Source organism: Homo sapiens, chromosome 10, assembly GCF_000001405.40.
Source record: "Homo sapiens chromosome 10, GRCh38.p14 Primary Assembly".
In the NCBI taxonomy this organism is placed as follows: domain Eukaryota; kingdom Metazoa; phylum Chordata; class Mammalia; order Primates; family Hominidae; genus Homo; species Homo sapiens.
In genome coordinates, this window is record NC_000010.11 from 59956437 (window position 1) to 59980252 (window position 23816).

The window sequence follows — 23816 nt, forward strand, 5'->3', positions numbered from 1 at the left end:
TGCCCGCCTCAGCCTCCCAAAGTGCTGGGATTACAGGCGTGAGCCACCATGCCCGTCCATAAAAAAGTTAAATGATAATAAAATGTTTACTGCCTCATTAGATATATTTCTTAAGTAAAACTAGGTTTTTCTTATTGTTGTTAACTGTTCGTGTGTAGTGGTGAAGAATACAATGTATACTAGTATAATCTGTGCCACTGCCTTGATTCCTACTAAGGAATAAGTAGATTTAGTCACCATTGTCTTGAACCATCAGCGCACACAGTCAACACAATGAAAAAGGAAAACAATGTTTTAGTTATGAAAATATTCTGACTCCATGGACTCTCTGAAAAGATCTTGGATTACTCCAGATCTGTGGATCATACTTTCATTTAGAACTTAAACTAATAAAAGATATTTTTTCTAGATGAATATTTTATTATGATAATGTTTAGAATTCCAGTGCATGATAATAATAAAGTGCAGAGTGATTTTCAGTGAGTTTTAGTATTGCTTTTACATTTTCAGACAATGAACCCTTTTACTGTCTGCATACAAGGCAGACTTTCCCATTACCTTGCCCTTGGTACACCACTGGATGATGGCAAATATCTTCTCTCAGTTAGTGGTTTGTCTTTTCCTTCTCTGAACGGTATCTTTTGATGAACAGAAATTCTTAATTTTAGTGAAGTATAATTTGACAATCTTTTACAATTGTCCTTTTTATGCTGATCCCAAGATTGCATTCCTGGCATAAATCCCACTTGGTCATATTATCCCTTTTATATAAAGGAGAAAATATGTATATATAATCATCTCAATAGATACAGATTTTTTGTTTGTTTGTTTGTTTTTTGAGACAAGTCTCACTCTGTCACCCAGGCTGGAGTGCAGTGGCGCGATCTCGGCTTACTGCAAGCTCCGCCTCCTGTGTTCACGCCATTCTACTGCCTCAGCCTCCCGAGTAGCTGGGACTACAGGCACCCACCACCACGCCCGGCTAACTTTTTTTTATATTTTTAGTAGAGACGGGGTTTCACTGTGTTAGCCAGGATGGTCTTGATCTCCTGAACTCATGATCCGCCACCTCGGCCTCCCAAAGTGCTAGGATTACAGGCGTGAGCCACAGCACCTGGCCCAGAAAAATTTGTACATAAAATTTAATACTTCTTTATGAACTCTTAGTAATCTCGGAATAGAAGGAAGCTTCGAGGTTATGCTGATCTTATAAAATTAGTTGGAAATGATACCCTCCTCTTTTCAAGTCTCTGAGTTTTCTATAAGATTGGTATTATTTTTTGCTTAAATGTTCAGAATTCATCATTGAAGCTATTTTGATTTGAAGTTTACTTTGCGGGAAGGATTTTTAAATGAAGGAATCAATTTCATTGATATTTAATTTCATTCAGATTTTCTATTTCCTCCTGTATTAGTTTTGTTAAATTTTGTTTTTTAAGGAATTTGTCCATTTCATCTATTTTTTAACAGCTTTATTGAGATGTAATTCACATGTCATAAAATTCACCTATTTAAAGTATACAATTCAGTGTTTTTTTAGTATATTCTCAGAGTTGTGCAACCATTCCCACAACCTAATTTTAGAACATTTCCATCACCCCAAACAGAAATCTCATATCCATTTGCAATCACTCCCATTCCCAACCCCTAGCCCTAGACAACCACTCATTTACTTTCTGTCTTTATATATTTACTTTTTCAAGACATTTCTTAGAATATCTTGAAAATGTGCTGAGACAGCAGAAGTGCTGTATTTTTTCATTTCACCACATGAAAAAGATGGGTACAAAAGGGTACAGATTTAATAAAATGTCACTAAATGTCAGTGTATTTTCAAGGGGAGAGGAATTAGGCCATGCCTCTTACTAGGATGGGCAGCAAAGAATTTGTGGATGTATCTAATCCACCATACCAAATATACCACATCTGTTGGACCATAGTTCTGTTTTTATCTATTTGCATCTTTCCCAATTCCTCAGGTTGACAGATCCATATTTGCATCTTTCCCAATTCCTCAGGTTGACAGATCCATATTCTTCCAAACTTACCTCCAGTGTCACAAGGCCTTTCTTGAGTAAGGGGACACCTACATGTTGTTTTTTCTGTGATGTAGTTATAGACTACGTCCCTTAAAAAAAAGAATAAGCCAACCTCTGGCTGATGAACTATAAACCGTCTAAGCTGAGTTGATCTTTCTTTTTTGTACCATGACAGTGTGTTGTATTTATGCTTCATCACTTTTTTTTGCAATTATTTATGTATGTGGTTGCTGTGCTACTAAATTGACCTCAAATTCTCTGATTTTTATCTAAATGTTCTCAGTTTCAGGTAGTTAAGATCAGTGTAGTGAAAAGTATGCATGGGAGGAGGGCAAGAATTATTGCCTCAGGGTCATAAAATTGATTTTAAAAAAAGGGTGGTGGTGGTATTGGCTTGTGGCAGGACTGGATCCAGGCAAACAATGCCGAGTGGTATCCTTCTTATCTTCCTTTCCCTTCCCCCTTCTCTCTTTCTTCTTCCTCCTCCTTTTTTCCTCTCCCTTTCCCTTCCTTCCTCCTTTGTTTCCATCTGTGTGGTGGCTTCACTCCTGTAGGTGCTGTTCCTCCGAGATAGATAATTTGGCCATGACAGTACTAGGTTTCCAAAATGGCGTCCCCAGGGGTAACTGGAAGTCCTTCCTGATAGTTCCAGAGGAAAATTTCTGGAGCAAAGGTTCTGACTGAGGCCAGGGGGATGGAATACTGTGGTTGGCTAACCCTGTAGTGCTGAAGAAGGGCTTGTCTGTTATCAGAAGTGTGGTGGGCGATCGTCCCTAGTCAAAAGGCCACATTGAATTCATCTGTTTCTCCAGAGCTCTGTTGAGTTATTGGCAAACAGTAGGAGCTTCCTAAATGTTTATTGAAGAAAATGAATGAATGAGTAGAAATAAAAGAATGAATCTATGACTTGAAATGTTTTCCTTTTCGCAAAGAGGCTTTTGACCATATGACACACTCTCGGATGTTTCTCACTGACTACAGAAGTCAGGGATTTTGCTATTAACCATTTCATGGCCACCTCTGTGTGAGCTTACCTTAAAGGTACTAAGGCATGAAAGAACATGACTAAAATACCAAATCCCTTGGCTACCTTTGGGGTTTCATCTTCACTATAGGTCTGTTAGGTCAAGGGTTTAGTTAAGTGTGGTGTGTCCTCATGAAAGTTCCGTCTGGAAATCAAAGAGCTTCGTGGTGAGTCTGTGCTGGGGTTGGGGCTAAAACATAGCTTTGAGTCTCAGCAGCTTGTCATTATCAGCATGTGCTTGCCTTGAGAGCTATGGCAGTTTCTGGTGACTTTATTGCAGACAGCAGTCAATCCACAACTCCTCGCAAAGGCTGGTGATTGAGCAATAAGCTTTTTGAAAACTCTTCCTGAGATCTTTCATTCACATTCACTGTGTTCAGAGAGTAGAGAATTTCAAAGACCCTTCATCATTTCATTCTCACTAGAGGTTATTCCTTTTGTCATTAGTGAGAAAAATCACAGTCAGCGTCTTAGAGAAAAAGAGAAAGACAGGGTAAATGATTTCTGCAGCTCTCACACCTTCCCAGAATAACTCTTAACCGCACCAGCCAGGGCCTGGTACATTCTTTGTTTGTTTGTTTGTTTGTTTGTTTGTTTCCCCCTCTTGGTTTTATTTAGTTCTCATGTACTGTACAATAGTAAGGGAAAATAGTGAAAAATCAACCCACAGCCTCATTTCCTTTAAAAAGGTTTTCATGTTTTGATTTATTTTGATACCTCTCATTTGTATGCATTTCAGTATGAAGATGAAAATACCAATTAAGTTTTTCACTCAACTTTATTTCAGACCTTTCACCTCACTGTTTTATTTTGCTCTTAATGAATGTCTGTATTGTCTTCATAGATTTATTTAAAGGAACAACGTTATTGATACAGCTTAGTTGCTGTAGCCATTATAATGTTCCTTAATGTCATAAGAAGCAAAGCAGTCATTATGTCCACAGTAGCAAAAGGACAGAATCATATTTGTTATTTTTAAAAGCTGTTCTTTTTAAACTCTTCTGGTTTGAGAAGCATGTAACCATGAAGAGTTTGTTTATATTGTATGGATCATTCAGTTGAAAACTGCAAGTAATCTTTGCATTTAAGCATCCCTATTTTTCTTTTTTAGGAATTTTAACTGACACATAATAATTACACATAGTCATGGGGTACAATGTGATGTTTCTATAGATATATACATTGTGTAATGATCAAATCAGGGTAATGAGCACATTTGTCACTTCAAACATTTATCATTTCTTTGTAGTGTTAACATTCAAAATTCTTCTAGGTTTTTTGAAATATATATCACACTACTGTGCAATAGCACACCAGAACCTATTCCTCATAGCTAATTATAAATTTGTACCTGTTGACCAATCTTTCTCCATTCTCCCATCTGCCTTCCTCTCCCCAGTCTTTGGTAATCACTGTTCTATTCTCTACTTCTATGACATCAGCTGCTTAGATTCCACATATGAGTGAGATCATGTGGTATTTGTCTTTCTGTGTCTGGCTTATTTCACTTACCATGATGTCTTCCAGTTCCAACCCTGTTGTTGCAAATGACAGGATTCCATTCTTTTTTAAGGCTAAATAGTATTCAGTTGTGTATCTACATCACATTTTCTTTATCTGTTGATCTGTTGGTGGACAATTAGGCTGATTTTGTATCTTGGCTATTGTGATACACATAGAAGCACAGATATCTCTTGCACATACTTATTTCATTTCTTTTGGATATATACCAAGTAGTGGAATTGCTAAATTATACGGTAGTTCTATTTTTAATTTTTTTAAGGATCCTCCATACTGCTTTCCATAATGGCTGTAGTAATTTACACTCTCACCAATTCTCTCTCTACATTTTCCAATATTTGTTATCTTTTGTCTTTTTCATAGTAGCCATTCTAACTGGAGTAAGGTGATATCTCATTATGCTTTTGATTTGCATTTCCCTAATGATTAATGATATTTAGCATTTTTTCATAAGACTGTTGACTATTTGTATGTCTTTTGAGAAATGTCTATTAAGGTCTTTTGCCTATTTTAAAATTGTTTTTTTAACTATTGAGTTGTTTGAATTCCTTATATGTTCTGGATTCTTTTTTAGAACACATTGCCTGTCCTCTGTAAATGCTGTCATAGAAAAAAACAACATATTGATAACTTAGACTAGGTGCTTTGACAGTAGAGTTGGTGAGAAGTGCTTGTACTCAGGGTAGGTTTTCAGATAAAGCAAGACATTTGCTTATGAATTGGATATGGGGAAATGAAGGAAAGAGATAAATTAATTATGTTTGAAGGCCTACTTTGGTGTAGAGAGAAAGATTAGAAATGTTTGCCAAAAAAAAAAAAAATGGATCTCTTTTGGCTCAATGGGATAGAACTCATCTTTGAACTGTAAGAGAGCAAGAACCTTTAAAACTCACTGAGATACATATATGACTAAAAAAAATACCTGCAGGAATGGGTTCGGAAATGGTGGATTTTGGAACTTGTTAATACTTGTGATTGACAGGTCAGTGGGATCCATTGCCAAAGTGGTAGGAATCATTCTTAGGAAATTTTGATCACTACTGAGTCAGGTACATGGATACCCTGTAAATCTCACTTCTGATTACAAAGAGAAGATCTCTTTTCCAAGTCTCTACCAAGTAAATTATTTTCCTTGACAATTAAAACAAAAATTGCAGGCAGGGCACTGTGGATCACATCTATAATCCTAGCACTTTGGGAGGCTGAGGTGGGAGGATTGCTTGAGGCCAGAAGCTTGAGACCAGCCTGGGCAGAAAAATGAGACTCCATCTCTACAAAAAATACATAAATTGGCTGGATGTGGTGGCATGTATCTACAGTCCTAGGTACTTGGGAGGCTGAAGTGGGAGGATTGCTTGAGCCCAGGAATTCAAGGCTGCAGTGAGTTGAGATTGTGTCATTTATACTCCAGCTTAGGCAACAGAGTGAGAACTTGTCTCAAAATAATAATAATAATTGCTTTACTTACTTTTCTCAAGTTGACAAGTTTAACTCTACATTGTAGGTACTGAATGAAGGTCATTATCAGGAAAGACTTAGGTACGGGGAGGCTGATTAAGCACTTTGATGGGAAATTAGTAATTTGGAAACTATAAGCAAATATTGCACTGTGGCTCATTGTTTCTGTTCATGAAGGGATTTATTTTTGTAGAATAGGGCTGCCCAGGAGAGGAATTTATAAAAGCAAATTGTAAATGCTTACTTGATTTCTTAAAGACTATGTGATGTCAGGCAAAGCATTTACCATCTCTGGCCTTTTATTTCCCCACCTATGAAATGAGATTAGAAATTCCTGCTCTGTCTGCCTTATAGAAATCTTATGAGCTTTAAATTAAATGAAGATAATAATGATAACGCCATTACATTTGACATTTAGTAAGTACTTACTGTGTGCCAGGCATTGTGTTAAGCCAGACACCGTGCTAAATTTAGTGGCTTAAAACAACAACCATTGTATTTGCTCACAATTCTGTGAATCAGCAATTTGGGCTGGACTCCGCTGCATGGTATTTCTGCTTTTCTTGCCTGGGATCATGGATGTGACTGCAAATTATCTGCCAGCTCTGATGGCCTAACTAGTCTTCTCTTGTATGTGTGGTGATTGGAAATGGCTACAACTGGTTAGCCGAGGGGGCTTCAACGGGGAGTTTGTCTCTCTTCCATGTGATCTTTCATCCTTCTGTAGGTTAGATCAGGCTTCTTCACATGGGAGTTTCAGAGCAGAATTCCAAGAGGTGAGAGAAGCTGCAAGCTGCTTGTATTCTAGGCCTGGAATACATATCATTTCTACCATATTCTGTTGGTCAAAGCAAATCACAGGATCTAGGTATAACCTAGATCCATGGGGGAATAAAACATCACCTTTTGATGGGAGGAGTAGAAAAGTCACATTGCAAATGGATAGGTGTATAGGAACAGGAGGATCTATCATAGCCATCTTTGTGCACAATCTATTGTACTTGTCAACATACAATCTCACTTAATCTGAATAGCAACCCTATTATTCTCATTGGACAAGTGAGGAAACTGAGGCACAATGACTTGTTGAAAGTCACTTAGTCAATAAGTGTCTAAGCTGGGAGATGAACCCAGGCAGCCTGACTCTAGAGGCCATCCTCTATTTTAATGGTCTTCAAAATGGAAATCACATTGTGGTAGAGATTACTCGTGTTTATCTATATCCAGTTTTTGCCTTCTGGGGCACATGGAAACCACACTTCCCATCCTTTAGAATTTAATTGTGGCCATGTAACTTGTTCTGGGCCAATGAAGGCATTTAACAGCAGGTGTAAATTCTTCATTCTCTTTCATCCTCTGCCTCTGTGTCCCTAGAAACCGCTGGTTAAAATGGTGGAATTATAAGATAGAAGTAGACTGGATTGCCAAGTTCCTATTGGAAAGGAAGCTGCCTGACCTGCAGCAGAAAAGAAATAAAATTGCACGTGTTAAGCAGCAGATTTTCTGATTTATTATTTTAGTGAAGCCAGTTCTTTTCTAATACAAGCCTCATTGTATTATTGTGCTTATAAAGTGAATCTGTAATTATATAAAAATTGTAGTTAAAGGCTGGGCACAGTGGCTTATGCCTGTAATCCCAGCATTTTGGGAGGCCAAGGCGGGTGGATTATGAGGTCAGGAGATCGAGACCATCCTGGCCAATACAGTGAAACCCCATCTCTACTGAAAATACAAAAAAATTAGCCAGGTGTGGTGGCGCACGCCTGTAGTCCCAGCTACTCAGGAGGCTGAGACAGGAGAATCACTTGAACCCGGGAAGTGGAGGTTGCAGTGAGCCAAGATCACGCCACTGCACTCCAGCCTGGGCGACAGAGTGAGACTCCATCTCAAAAATAAGTAAATAAATTGTAGTTAAACAAAAAAGAATAAAGAAAAATTTAAAAGTCATTCTAAATCCTACTCCTCAGGGTCAACAATTCTCAATCTCTTGGCGAATGTCACTTCAGATAACTCTCTGTGTATAAAAATACACAATTTGTATAAATAATTTCATGCTTCCCATATTGTTAGGTAGTCTCCTTTTATCATCAAACAGTATTATTTCAAAATTCTTCTTAGTCAAATAAGAGAGGCGTATGTAGGAAACTCTTAATTATATAACACACAATAAGAAGGCTTTTGAGAATGTATGTAAGAGTACAGGTTCTGCATCAGAGTACTTGAGATCAAATCCTCATCCCATCATTGATTTAGAGAAAGTTACCTCATCATACTGTGCTTCAAGTTCTTCAACTGTAAAAGGAGGATAAGAATAGTAAGAATAGTACCTACTCCACAGTCAGGAGTAAATAAAATTAGGTTTTATTTAACATTTTGTACAATACCTGGCATGTTGTTGACATTCAATAAATGTTCATTTGATAACAGGGTAGCAAATTTACACATTCTATTGAAATGTGCAAAGAAAATATAGCTTCTTCCTTTTTTTTTTTCTTTTTTTTTTCAAACGGTCTTGTTCTGTTGCCCAGGCTGTAGTACAATGGCGCGATCTTGACTCACTGCAACCTCTGTCTCCCAGGTTCAAGCAATTCTTCCGCCTCAGCCTCCCAAGTTGCTGGGATTATAGGCATGTGCCCCCACACCTGGCTAATTTTTGTATTTTTAGTAGAGATGGGGTTTCACCATGTTGGTCAGGCTGGTCTTGAACTCCTGACCTCAAATTATCCACCTGCCTCAGCCTCCCAAAGTGCTGGGATTACAGGCATGAGCCACTGCACCTGGCCTACTTCTTTTAATAGATTTTTCTCCTAACCCTTTGCTGGATAGCAGGGTGTGGCTCATGGTGGTGGAAGAAACCATGTTACATTTTGGTTTTAAAATCCTTTCAAGGAAATATTTAATCAGTCTAAAGTCCATCTTTATAATGAGACTGTTGCCCCCACACTATGTAATTTTCTTTTAAAGATTTCTTTGTATAGGGTAAAAGCTTATGAGGTTTCCTGGTGACAGAGGAAATTTACCTGTTATCTTTCTTAATCTGTCTGGCCATGGAATGGATGATTAGTCACTGCACTGGCATCTATTGCAGGAAAACTGGTTCCTTTGGGTCTTTTGGTAAACAATGGTATCCGTTGCTGCCTTGACATGCCTGACTTGACATTGCCTCCAGTCACTGAAGGTCCTGAGCTTGCAGGCCTTCTTTTCCCAACTCTAGGCCTCTGCAATTCCAACAGTCTTCCCAGACTCTCCCTATTTCCTCACTGGCACACACAGGAACTTTCTAGATTCACTGCATACCATGTACAGACCATAGGGAACAAAGAGCACTACCTGCCTGTCCTATTTCTCTTCAACCCATCCACTCTAACCCTCTGCCAGAGGCTGGCAGAGTGCCTTGCATGGAGGTCTCATTCCAGTGTTTCAAAGTGGGAGTAGATCAAAACTCCCTCTGTTTTGGCTTTTTATTCAACCTAAGTAACAACCCTCTGCCATTCCGGCCAAATTCAGTTCACATGTCAGATAGCCTGCTTCCTTTACGTTTCCTTACTCTCTTGTCCATGCTTTTTAGGTGCTGATTGGGATAGGCCTTCTCCTTTATCTTCTTGTTTGCAGGAACTTCCCTTACACCATTAAGCTCCACTGCTCAACTTTGATGACAGAAAGGTTGAATCCCTACATGATAAGAAACTGCATGACTCTTGATATGAGAACTACGGGTCACTTAAGAACTAGAGTTAATTATAAATACAAATATATTTAATACTCTCTAATATTGCCCCATTATAATATTATCATTATCATCAGCATGTAGGACATGCTTATTTCTTTCTCAGTGCCCTTCGACTTTTCCTGTGATCTTGCATTGCCCACCACATTCTAGATTTTCTAGCTGATTTGCCTGTTAAAAGGCAGTAGGAAGGCAGTCCACCTGCTGTTTGCTTGGAATACAGGAAATGAACATCATACCATATGGGCTGTTTAACATCCACCCACATGGCCCCAGACACAAGCATCAGATCCTCTGGCAACTGTGGGCCAGGCACAACTGGGGTGGCTGCTTTACTTAGGAATGACATATTTTAAAAAATCTTCTTAATTAAATTTGTATCGCACTGAAACAAAATTAATTTTTGGTCTTTCTATTGACTACAAACTGACCGAGGGTCTCTCTGATTGTCCATTGTACATATAAGCCTAAAAATGAATAGTAAATGTTTATATCATTGGCAACTGCATAATTATCACTCTCACCTAGCAGTGCTGACCGTACATAGATTAAATAAAAAACTCTGAATGTGAGGCAAGGGGCTGCCACTGAGACCTTTCCTAAATGTGTACTCCTGCCTCAACTACCACACTTTGTCATTTATTTCTTTAAATCAAGACACAGTTTTTTATACCTTAATGTAAATGGGTTTGCCAAACAATTTAAAAGTTAATTTTTGTCAAGGGAAGGAAACTTAGGCTCCTATATCTCTGGGAGAATGAAGATTTATATACCAAAGGAGAGACAGGTATAGAAAAGGAAGTGTGGGGAAGCAACACAAACTTTACAGTTTATCAGAAGCAGGTGCTTAGGAGGAGTGCTATCTGGAAGAGAGGCCTACTGCATTGCCATAGCTCTGTAACAGGCCGCAAAGTGATCCCAGTTGTACAGGTCAGTTAGGGTGCTTCACCAGGTGCTTTTTCAGCTGATGTGGACCGGTATTGCCCCACAACAATTGAGAGGTGGTGGAAGCAGAGGGCCAGCATCTGCATGCTTGGGTAAACCTACCTAGTAAAGTTGAGATGGTATCTCTTGACTTCTCTTCATGGCTGCAGGCTCTCATTCTTTGAAACATGATCCCTTAATACCCAGCATGTAGCTAGCTGCAGGAATATGTCTGAATGAACTCCCTGCAGAGGCCAGGTGGGTCCTGTCAGTGCAACAATTATCAGCTGGACTTGGACACTATCTTCATATCTATCTTCATAGTTATCTATAGTAGTATATCTCCTCCCCATGTCTCTCAGATATACACAGGTATTCTCAATAAAAAGAGTCAAACGGGGAAGATATCTTAAGGAGGAGCTACTAAAAATACAAAAAATTAGCCGGGCGCGGTGGCGGGCGCCTGTAGTCCCAGCTACTCGGGAGGCTGAGGCAGGAGAATGGCGTGAACCCGGGAAGCGGAGCTTGCAGTGAGCCGAGATTGCGCCACTGCAGTCCGCAGTCCGGCCTGGGCGACAGAGCGAGACTCCGTCTCAAAAAAAAAAAAAAAAAAAAAAAAAGAGTGAACAGCAGAAAAGATCAAGGTAAGAGAGAGCTATCAATTGAGTGGAACCAGGAGTCAGAAAGAAGCTGGACAGCATCAGACCTGGAGAATTGGAATAGGCCTAGAACAGGCAACACAGGTATTGAACAATTATGGAGTGAATTCTCACAGCTGGGAGAATTTTATGAAGAGGGACCTGAATGTTTCATGGAGACTTTTCCATAGTGGAACCCTTTGAAATTAGAAAAAAAGTATGTATGTGTGTGTTTCCATAAACACATTGGTCTATGCTGTATATACGAATATACACTGGTTCTAAAGTGCTAGATATGGAAAGCCTGTTTCTTGTATGGCACTGGTAGTATCTCCTTTACGGTACTATCTGGAAACCAGTCCTTTCTGTCTTTTATGATGGAGTTTCCTCAGGGAAAATAAGCAACCTCAGGGAAAGAAAGAGAAAATATATAGGTAAGAGAGTGTAGAAGGGAGAGAGTAGCAGCATAAAGGGAGCAGAAAGGAAAAACCCAGCAAAACACAGTGCATACCTATGAAACAGAAATGGGGGTGTCAACCCTGCAGGAGGGAGAAAGCAGCCAGTTGCTGGGAAGAGGGATGTCACCATTGTTGGAATCTTGTATACAAGGGTGATATTCTGCAGGACCAGGGAGACATGCATTTAGAAACTTAGTCATGGCCAAAGTCCCGCAGAAGGAGTGACTGATAGTCACAGGAAGCTTAAATTGGTGGAGTGTACTCTTTGGCATTTTTCTAATTAGTTCGTGTTCATTAAATGATTCCAGAGTATAGTTAAGCTGTAGTACTTAGTCTGTGTAACAAATTATTCTCCCCTAAATGCCTCCTAAGAACCCTCGCCAGGTGCTGATTATGTCTCCCATACCTGAATCTAATGTGTCTGTCCCTCACCCTGATGATTTGCCAGAACTGATCACTGCTAGTCCCTCCTTCCAGAGAAACAAGGAGACAGAATTATTAACCAAACAGGAGGGCAAAAAGGGAAAAAAAGCCTATATAACACAAGAATAGATTACACTGCTGACCTGGGTTTCAGTTACATACAAATTGCATCTTCACAGAGGAGCTCAGCTCTTCAGGTTTAAATTAAACTTAGTCCAATAGACATTTATAGGGCACCTATTTTGTACTTGGCACTGGGCCATGTGGGAAAACAAACTGGCTTGGTCAGGTGCGGTGGCTTAGGCCTGTAACTCCAGCACTTTGGGAGGCAGAGGTGGGAGGATTGCTTGAGTCCAGGAGTTCCAGACCACCCTGGGCAACACGATGAACCCCTGTCTCTACAAAATATACAAAAAAATTAGCTGAGCATGGTGGCATGTGCCTATAGTCCTAGCTACTTAGGAGGCTGAGGTGGGAGGATCACCCGAGACTGGGAGGTTGAGGCTACAGTGAACTGAGCCATGATTGCACCACTGCACTCCAGCCTAGGTGACAGAGTGAGACCCTGTCTCAAAAACAAACTGTAAGGCATGGTTACTGCTCTTGAGAAGCTGAAAATATTCCCAAAGAGGCCAGTGTGAACAAGTATACAATAAAATTTGTAAATGAGAGAAAAATTCCTTGTGAGTAAAAATGCCAGGAAATTCAGAGAATGGAGGCACTAACTCAAACTGGAGTGAGAAAGCTCTGGGGAGAATTTGGGATTTGGGACCTAGGCCCTTGGAACATAAACCAGATTTTGAGGTGAGAATAAAAGAGATGAGAGCACCCAAATGGAGAAAACAGAATGATCTTATCAAGACAATCTCAGAACTACTGAAGAAGCTATTTGATAAAGGTAATCAGTAGGCATGAATCCCTCAGTGGACCATGAGTTCTTCAAGAGCTGGCATCATGGCCGGGCATGGTGGCTCAAGCCTGTAATCCCAGCACTTTGGGAGGTCGAACGGGGGAGATCACCTGAGGTCAGGAGTTCAAGACAAGCCTGGCCAACATGGTGTAACCCTGCCTCTACTACAAATACAAAAAATTAGCTGGGCGTGGTGGTGGGCGCCTGTAATCCTAGCTACTCGGAAGGCTGAGGCAGGAGAATTGCTTGAACCCCGGAGTTGCAGGTTTCAGTGAGCCAAGACTGCGCCATTGCACTCCAGCCTGGGTGATAAGAGTGGGACTCCCTTTCAAGAAAAAAAAAAAAAAAGTGCTGGCATCATGTCTTAGGCCTCTTGGAATTCATTCATTCAACAAATCTGGGTGTTGAGAATAAGCAATGAGTGAAACAGACAGCGTCTCTGCCCTCATGCAGTGCAGCTTACAGTCTTAATGGCAGAGGCAGACATAAACAATAGACAACTGGCCAGATGCGGTGGCTCACACCTGTAATCCCAGCACTTTGGGAGGCCGAGGTGGGCAGATCACCTGAGGTCAGGAGTTTGAGACCAGCCTGACCAACATGGCAAAACCCTGTCTCTACTAAAAATACAAAAATTAGCCGGGTGTGGTGGCAGGTGCCTGTAATCCCAGCTACTTGGGAGGCTGAGGCAGGAGATTCGCTTGAACCCGGGAGATGGACGTTGCAGTGAGCTGAGATCGCACCATTTCAATTCAGCCTGGGCAACAAGAGTGAAACTCTGTCTAAAAATAAAAAATAAAATAAAAATAAATTGCAGGAGGCTAGTTACAGACTTCTTTTGCTGGAAAGAAGAGAAAAATATCTACATTTTAGATTAATTTATTTCCACATCCAAAAAGTCCAGCTGAATGGACTCTGTGGAAGTAGTACACAAACATACATACCACTTACAAATCAAGCGGTCTGTAAAGATTATTTGCCTATGTTAACTTAGTGAGCCTGCAGCAAGACAAGTTCCTCTTTTTATTATTTCAGTGCTTACTACTCTTTTCCACATCATGCACACACTGAAGATGATAGTATTTGTCTGGCTCACTGGGGTAGAGGGAAGAGAGGGAATAGCCCTGGAGGTTCCACCCTCAGGCTCAAAGGGAGAAGTATTTCAGTACATCTCTAATCCATTTGGCTCATTAACTAGAAAGTTCTGTTTTATTTAATCACAGAAAAGTCTATTTTTGTAAAATACTTATAACCTTGATCTGTCCCTCCTACAAGCATCACCATCTCAGAGAATGACTACTCCACCTTTCTAATTGCTCAGGGCAGAAATCTTGGGATCATCTTTGATGCCTCTCTCTCTCTCACTTAGCATCCTTTCATTCCATTAGTAAATCCTGTTAGCTCTATATGGTCCAACACTTCTTACCACCTCCTCTGTGCTACAACCCTAGTCCACAGTCTTTTTGTGCCTGGATTACTTAAAATTCTTCTGTCTGGTCTCACTTCTTCCTCTCTTGCTCCTCTGCAGTCCCTTCTGTAAATAGCAGTGGGCACAATGCTGTTAAAACAGAAGTCTAATAATAACATATCTTCAAAATTCTCTCGTGACTCTCAATCTCACTTAAAGTGAAGTTCAGAGGTCTCACAATGGCCTGCAAGGCCTGCCCCCTAATGGCCTACCAGACCCTGCCCCATCTGCCGCCTCCTCCTTCCTCTCTGAACTCACGTTTTACCATTTTCTCCTTTGCTCAATTCTCTCGAGCTACTCTGGCTTACCTGTTCTGCCTTGAACACACCAGACAATTCCTGCCTCAGAAATTTTGCTTTTGATGTACTGCCTGCCTGCAATGCTCAGATATCTTCATGGCACTCTCTCACACCTGTTAGGTCTCAGTTTAAATGCCAGTTTCATAGTGGGACCTTCTTTGATCACACTATTTACCATCAGCTCCCACCTCCAAACTAACTCTGTTATATCCTATCCCTTTCCTCTATAGCACTTATTACTGTCCATTCTGTTTATTGTCTGACACCCTCACTGGAATGTAAGGTTCTTGAGGGCAGGGATTTTTTTCAGTTTTGTTCCCTGTTGTAGCTACAGTACACAGAACAGTACCCAACCTATAGTAAAAACTCAATAAATTTTTGTTGAATCGATGAATAAATTAATGAATGAATTCACATGTTACTTGGCTTTCTAAAACCTGAAGTTGTCAGTGTGATAAAAACTGTTTATTGTTTAGAACAAAGGCAGAGGACCTGGTTACAAGGTTAACCTAATGACTGTCTCTGAAATATTACAGTGTTAAAACTTTGCTAATGGATTATTTCCTGATGTTATCTGATCATTTCTTGTTCCATTATGATAATATAATGAAACATATCCAAAAGTGCCATGAAGAAAAATAAAGCAGGGAGAGAGGGCTTAGAGAATGATAGGACTGCTTTTTTAGTTAGTGTAATCAGGGAAGGCCATTTATCAGAGGCTGGAATGAAGGGAGGGACAACCCTCTAAAGGGCTGCGGGCAGAACATTCCAGGCAGAGTGAACAATGAGTGCAAAGTCCAAGCAGCTGGAACAAACTTGATGTTTTTGAGTAGCTGTAAGAAAGACAATGTGGTCAGACCAGAGTAAACATGCTGGAGAGTGGCAGCAGAAGGGTTTCAAAATGCAGCCAGAGGTCAGGTGGTGTAGGGGCTTTGATAAGGAGTTAGATTTTAAGTGTGATAGGAAGTCATAAGAGTATTTTGAGCAGGATAATAATATGGTCATATTTATGATTTTTTTATTTTTTGAGACGGGGTCTCACTCTGTCACTTAGGCTTGAGTTCAGTGGTGGGATCTCAGCTCATTGCAACCTCTACCTCCCAGGCTCAAGTGATCCTCCCACCTCAGCCTCCTGAGTAGCTGGGACAACAGGGGTGTGACATCACTCCCAGATATTTTTTGTATTTTTTGTAGAGATGGGGTTTCGCTGTGTTGCCCAAGCTGGTCTCGAACTCCTGGGCTGAAGCCATCCACCCGCCTTGGCCTCCCAATGTGCTGAGATTACAGGCCTTGGCCACCACATTCGGCTTGCTTTTTGTTTGTTGGTTGGTTTGTTGGTTTGTTGAGATGGTGTCTCCCTCTGTCACTCAGGCTGGAGTGCAGTGGCACAATCTCAGCTCACTGCAACCTCCCTTTCTGGGTTCAAGCGATTTCTGCCTCAGCCTCCCAAGTAGCTGGCATTACAGGTGCACACCACCATGCCTGGCTAATTTTTGTATTTTTAGTAGAGATGGGGTTTTACCACGCTGGCCAGGCTGGTCTCGAACTCCTGACCTCAAGTGATCCGCCCACCTCGGCCTTCCACAGTGCTGGGATTACAGGCATGAGCCACTGCACCCTGCCCTGGCCTGTATTTTTTATTTTAAGAGATCACTCTGGCTGCTGTGTGGAAATTGATAGTAGAGGCAAAAACCAGTTAGGAGGCTATTGCAGCAGTGTAAGTAAGCAAGGGAAGACAGCAGCTTGGACTAGGGTGATGGTGGTAGATTTGATGAGAAGTGGTTAGATTCAGGACCCAGGGGTTATTTATTTATTTTACCTTTTCATTTTGAAACAATTTTGATCTTACAGAATACTTGTAATAATAGTGAAAGGAACTTCAAACTGTATACACTTTAGAGGGTCTCACCACTAACTCTTAAAGTTTTGTCACATTGGCATTCTCTCTTGCCACACTCCCCGTTTTCTCTTTATTCACACACAGACTCAAACACACACATTTATAGATCCTTATCCATGTCAATATTTATATAAATTGTTTTCTGAACCATTTGGTTATAAGTTACATACATTATACCTCTTTACCTCAAAATTCTTTAGTGTGTATTTTCCAAGAACAAGACAATTCTCCACAGTACAGTTATCAATTCAGGAAATGTAAAACCAATACGATACTTGTATCCAAGCTGCAGTGCATGTTCCAATTTCATCAGTTGTCCCAATAACGTCCTTTATAATAAGTAGAATACAGTCCAAGACTTGTCTATTTTGTTGATTTTTACAAATTTATTACTTTGATCTATCTTTCTATTCTTCAGCGTAGTAACTTCTGATTTTTTTTTCCCCATCTTAAGTTTTTGTTTTTTTCCTAGTTTTTTGAGTTGTAGACTTGGAGATTTAATTCATTTATTTTTTGCTTTTTATTTTCCTTGATATAGATGTTTAAGGCTATGAATTTTCTTTTGATTATTGCTTTAAATCTATACTATTGATTTTTATATGAAGTGTTTTTCCTCATATAATTATCATTTTTCAGAAATTCTTTAATTTTTGCTTATATTCTATTTTACACGAGCTATTTAGTAGATTTTGCTTTTTAACTTCTAGTTTTATTAAATCATGATTTCAGAGTGTATTGCTATATATATATCCATATTTCCATAAAATATGGCTTATTTTCTCACTCTTTGTCTAATGGTCTCACTTTGTGCTGAGGGTGATATGTTAAAGGCTTCTATTATTACTGTTTCTGTTTCTTTTTTTTTTTTGAGATGGAGTCTCCCTCTGTTGCCAGGCTGGAGAGCAGTGGTGCGATCTCGGCTCACTACAACCTCCAACTCCCTGGTTCAAGTGATTCTCCTGCCTCAGCCTCCTGAGTAGCTGAGATTACAGGCATGCACCACCACACCCAACTAATTTTTTGTATTTTTAGTAGATGGGGTTGGCCAGGATGGTCTCGATCTCCTGAACTCGTGATCTGCCTACCTTGGCCTCCTAAAGTGCTGGGATTACAGGCGTGAGCCACAGTGCCTTGCCTATTACTGTTTCTGTTTCTAATTGTATCGCCTTAGTTTCTTCTGTGTCCTTTTTTTGGTCTCATTTAATACTTTTGGGGGCTGAATTTTATTTTGTTTGAGATAAGAATTGCAACCCTGCCTTTAAAAAACTTACACACAAACACACTTCAATTTTTAGAGCAATTTTAGGCTCATAGCAGAATTGAGTGGAAGATTTAGACATTTCCCATATATCCCCTATGCCTACAAATGCATAAGTCCCAACCTTTGTCAGCATCTCCCCACCAGAGTGGTACATTTCCTACAACTGATGGACCTACATTGAGATATTATAATCTCCCAAAGTCTGTAGTTTACATTGGGGTTCACTCTTGATAGTGTACATTCTGTGGGTTTAGATAAATGTTTAATGACATATATCTACCATTATAGTGTCATACAGAATAGTTTCACTGCCCTAAGAATCCTCTGTACTCCACTTATTCATCCTTACCTCCTACCTCCAACCCCTTGAAACCATGGATCTTTTTGTCCTCTCCATAGTTCTGCCTTTCTCAGAATGTCATACAGTTGGAATGTTATGGCATTCAGCCTTTTCAGATTGGCTCCTTTTATTTAGTAATATGCATTTAAGGTTCCTGCATGTGCTTTCATGGCTTGATAGCTAATTTTTTAAAGTGCCAAATAATATTCCATTGTCTGGATGTACGGCAGTTTAGGTATCCATACACCTACCAAAGGGCATCTTGGTTGCTTACACGTTTTGGCAATTATATATAGTCATACGCAGGTTTTTGTATGGACATCAGTTTTCGGTTAATTTGGGTAAGAACCAAGGAGCACAACTGCTGGATTTTAAAGTAAGAGTATGATTAGCTTTATAAGAAATCGCCAAACGGTGTTCCAAAGTGGTGGTATCTTTTTGCATTCCCACCAACCATGAGGGTTGCTGTTGCTCCCTATTCTTGCTAGCATTTGGTGTTGTCAGTGTTCTGGATTTGGGCCATTCTAGCAGGTATGTAGTGTTATCTCATTGTTGTGTGGGGTTTTTTTTGTTCTGTTTTGGTTTTTGTTGAGACAGAATCTTGCTCTGTCACCCAGGCTGGAGTGCAGTGGGGTGATCTCGGCTCACTGCAACTCTGCCTCTCAGGTTCAAATGATTCTCCTGTCTCAGCCTCCTGAGTAGCTGGGACTACAGGCACCCGCCACCATGCCCAGCTAATTTTTGTATTTTTAGTAGAGACGAGATTTCACCATGTTGGCCAGGCTGGTCTTAAACTTCTGACCTCAAGTGATTCGCCTGCCTCGACCTCCCAAAGTGCTGGGATTACAGGAGTGAGCCACCATGCCCGGCCTCGTTGTTTTAAGTTGCATTTCCCTGATGATGTATGATATCTTTTTGTATGTTTATTTGCCATCTCTATAGCTTCCTTGGTGAGGTGTCTGCTAAGATCTTTGCCCATTTTTTAATGCTTGTTTTCTTTTTATTGAGTTTTAATAGTCCTTTGTATATTTTGGATAATAGTTCTTTATCAGATATGTCTTTTGCAAATGTTTTCTCCTTTTGGTGTTATATCTAAAAAGCCATTACTAAACTCTAGGTCATCTAGATTTTCTCCTGTGCTATTGTATTAGTCCATATTCATGCTGCTTATAAAGATCTACCCAAGACTGGGCAATTTACAAAAGAAAGAGGTTTAATGGATTTACAATTCCACATGGCTGGGGAGGCCTCACAATCATGGCGGAAGGCAATGAGGAGCAAGTCACATCTTACATGGATGGCAACAAGCAAAGAGAGAGAAGGAGAGCCAAGCAAAAGGTGTTTCTCCATATAAAACCATAAGATTTCATGAGACTTATTTACTACCACAAGAAGAGTATGGAAGAAACTGCCCCCATGATTCAATTATCTGCCACTGAGTACCTCCTACAACACATGGGAATTATGGGATTACAATTCAAGGTGAGATTTGGGTGGGGACACAGCCAAACCATATCAGCTATTTTCCAGGAGTTTTATAGTATTGCATTTACATATTGGTTTATTTTCCAGTTTAAGTTAATTTTTGTGAAGAGTATAAGGTCTGTGTCTAGATTTTTTATTTTTTTGCATATGGACATCCATCTGTTCCAGCACCATTTGTTGAAAATACTATATTTTCTTCATTGTAATGCATTTATTTCTTTTTCTTTCTTTTCTTTCTTTCTTTCTTTTTTTTTTTTTTTTTTTTTTTTTTTTGAGATAGAGTCTCACTCTGTTACCCAGGATGGAGAGCAGTGGTACAATCTCAGCTCACTGCAACCTCCGCCTCCCTGGTTCAAGCAATTCTTCTGCCTCAGCCTCCCAAGTGGCTGGGACTACAGGTGTGCGCCACCACGCCCAGCTAATTTTTGTATTTTCAGTAGAGATGGGGTTTCACCATATTGGTCAGGCTGGTCTCAAACTCATGACCTTGTGACCCACCTGCCTCAGCCTTCCAAAGTGCTTGGATTACAGGCATGAGTCACCCCACCCAGCCACATTTATTAATGTAACTGATATGTTTGGCTTTGACTCCCACATTACTTTATATTATAGTTATTGTGTTTATTAGATATACTTTCTTTTTCTAAATGGTGTAACTTTGTGGCTCCTTCTTTAAACATTTTGTTTGATATTTAGGAAGGTTTGCATTTTTGTTCTAATGGTTAGCTTTGTATTTATAATTTAGATAGTGCTTAGTCATTTCTTGATTGGGTAAAGCTTTTCCTGTTGTACAGGAGTCAGCAAACATTGTCTGAAAGAGCTAGATAGTAAATATTTAGGTTCTATGGGTTAAGAAGCAAAACAGAGGCTATTAGGAAACTACTTATATAACAGTTTACAATATAATTGCTTAAAAATGTAAGTGCCATTCTTAGTTTACACACACACACACACACACACACACACACACACAATGGTAGCTGGTCAGGTTTGACCTATGTGCTGTGGTTTATTAACCCTGGCCAAATATATTTTCTAGGAAAGATCCATGAATAAATTATTCTGGAGTACTTATATGTTTAAAATTGTTTTTCTACATCTTAATGCTTGAAGCATAACTTGTGTGGATACAAAAGTCCTTGATATGTACTTTCTTTCATTGGCTTTTTTTAAAAAATGCTGTTCTACTGTTCTCATATTCATATTTTTGACACACTCTTGACATTTTGTGTCAGGTTTCCTATATACATAGTAGGACATTTCATTTTATAAATTTTGGATTAAAAATAGTTCTGGAAAGTTTTGATTACAGTTTTAAATATATAGTCCTCTTCCATTGTTTGGGTTATTGTCTTCAGGGTCTGCAATTATATGTATGTTGGATTATCTTTGTCTTCCCATCCAGCCACTTTTTTTCTGACCCTTTTTACTTCTTTCTTCATCTTATTTTCATTATCCTATAGGTGTTTTATGTTTGGTTGGTTTTGTTGTTGTTTTTTTCTTTTTCCTGTGTCCCTTATTACATTTTCATTGGACTCTATTCTCAGATACATTATAATGCATTCATTATTCTGAGATATCTGTCATTAAAAAACTCTTCGTTGTGTTCACTTGTTTCATTTCACTTATTCCTATTTTTTTTATTTTTTTGGAGACGAAGTCTCGCTCTGTCGCCCTGGCTGGAGTGCAGTGGCGCAATCTTGGCTCACTGTAAGCTCTGCCTCCCAGGTTCACGCCATTTTCCTGCCTCAGCCTCCCGAGTAGCTAGGACTACAGGCACCTGCCACCATGCCTGGCGAATGTTTTGTATTTTTTTTAGTAGAGACAGGTTTCACCATGTTAGCCAGGATGGTCTTGATCTCCTGACCTTGTGATCCACCTGCCTTGGCCTCCCAAAGTGCTGGGATTACAGGCGTGAGCCACTGTGCCTGGCCCATTTATTTATTTTTGACTATTTTTTTCTTTTTGATTTTAGTTGGTTTCTTTTTTCTTTTTCTTTCTTTCTTCTTTTTTTGAGGCAGAGTCTTGCTCTGTTGCCCTGGCTGGAGTGCCGTGGCAGAATCTTGGCTCACTGCAACCTCCGCCTCCCGGGTTCAAGCGATTCTCCTGCCTCAGCCTCCTGAGTAGTTAGGATTACATACACACACCACCACGCCCAGCTGATTTTTGTATTTTTAGTAGAGACAGGGTTTCACCATGTTGGTCAGGCCAGTCTCGAATTCCTGACCTCGTGATCCCCCTCCCTCGGCCTCCCAAAGTGCTGGGATTACAGGCATGAGCCACCATGCCTGGCCGATTTTAATTGGTTTCTTTATCTTCAAATACTTGTTTGAGGATATATTCAATTTGCAATGTTGTGTTACACTTTGATTTTGCTTCAGGGTTAGGTTTGGGTAAGTACATTTCATTAGCTGAAATGTTCAGCTTCTCAGTTTCTTTCATCTTCTTATGGTAGCTTCATATAGCATTGGTCTGATTATTTTTTAAGTCTAGGCATTTGTTGATAGGGTTTCTAATTTATGAGTGCTTAGTTCAGACAGCATAGTGAAATGTAATTTCTTTAATAAAATGTCTTAGTGGTGATGTCATGGAGGAGGGGAGAAGAGTTGGCATGTCTTGTAATTCTCTTCTGTTTTCATAGGATCCTTAATTTTTCTTCTTACTTTCTTTTTTCTCTCTGTGGCAGACATCTGAGGGGCATCACTACTTCTATATATTAATCTTCCTTTCCCCTAGAAGCAGTAATTCCTCTAGGCTGACATGTCTGATATCTCACTTTATTTATTTATTTTTTCAGAGGGAGTTTCGCTCTTGTCTCCCAGTCTGGAGTGCAGTGGCGTGATCTTGGCTCACTGCAACCTCTACCTCCCAGGTTCCAGCAATTCTCCTGCTTCAGGCTCCCAAGTAGCTAGGATTACAGGCGGCTGCCACCATGCCCAGCTAATTTTTTGTATTTTTAGTAGAGACGGGGCTTCACCGTGTTAGCCAGGTTGGTCTCAAACTCCTGATTTCAGGTTATCCGCCCACCTCAGCCTCCCAAATTGCTGGGATTTACAGGCATGAGCCACTGCACCCAGCTTGATATCTCACTTTCAAGCCCTTTCCTGTAGGTAGTGCTGTGTACTACTAAGTCCCAGATTTGTTTTCAGTATTTTAGCACTCAGTTTCAGAGTGTCTCTGTCTGAGGGTGATTTTCTCTGTGTTCTAAGTAGTAATCTCACTTCTTTCCTTTTCTCTTCTCTTTTCCACATAGAATTTTAACTCCCCTAACTTTCTGTATTCATAGGGTTGTAGCAGCAATGGAAATGCTATTGTAATTTTATGTTTATATCTTACAAGTAATTTGAAGTTGTTACAGTTGAAGGCATGGGTCATGTGAGACTTTATTTACACTTCTTCCACCTGTTAGGTTTATTATAGTTTGAGTGTGTCCCCCCGCCAAAGTTCAGGTGCTGCCAATGTGGTAATATTAAGAGGTGGGGCCTGGCCGGGCACGGTGGCTCACATCTGTAATCCCAGCACTTTGGGAGGCCGAGGCAGGTGGATCACGAGGTAAGGAGTTCAAGCCCAGCCTGGCCAAGATGGTGAAACCCCATCTGTACTGAAAATACAAAAAATTAGCCGGGCATGGTGGTGGGTGCCTGTAATCCCAGCTACTCGGGAGGCTGAGGCAGAGAATCCCTTGAACCAGGGAGGCAGAGGTTGCAGTGAGCTGAGATCGCACCACTGCACTCCAGTCTGGGCAACAGAGCAAGACCCCATTAAAAAAAAAAAAAAGAAGTGAGGCCTTTAAGAGGTGATTAGGCCATGAGGGCCCCTCCCTCCTAAATGCAATTTTGTGCCATTTTATAAAAGGACTTGATGTTAAGGGAGTTCCTTCTCTTTTGCCCTTCCATCTTCTGTTATGTGAGTATGCAGCAAGAAGACCCTCCCTAGAGGCT

At 40.1% G+C, this 23816-nt stretch overlaps 1 long non-coding RNA gene across 1 annotated transcript; it reads right to left on the reverse strand.

The window, feature by feature from the left end:
• Positions 1-1780: 1780 nt before the first annotated feature.
• LINC01553 (long intergenic non-protein coding RNA 1553) lies at positions 1781-4477 on the reverse strand. Its single transcript, NR_024340.1, has 2 exons — positions 4415-4477; positions 1781-3532 (listed from the first exon to the last, which is right to left on the reverse strand). It is a non-coding gene; the product is annotated as a long intergenic non-protein coding RNA 1553 (long non-coding RNA).
• Positions 4478-23816: the final 19339 nt, after the last annotated feature.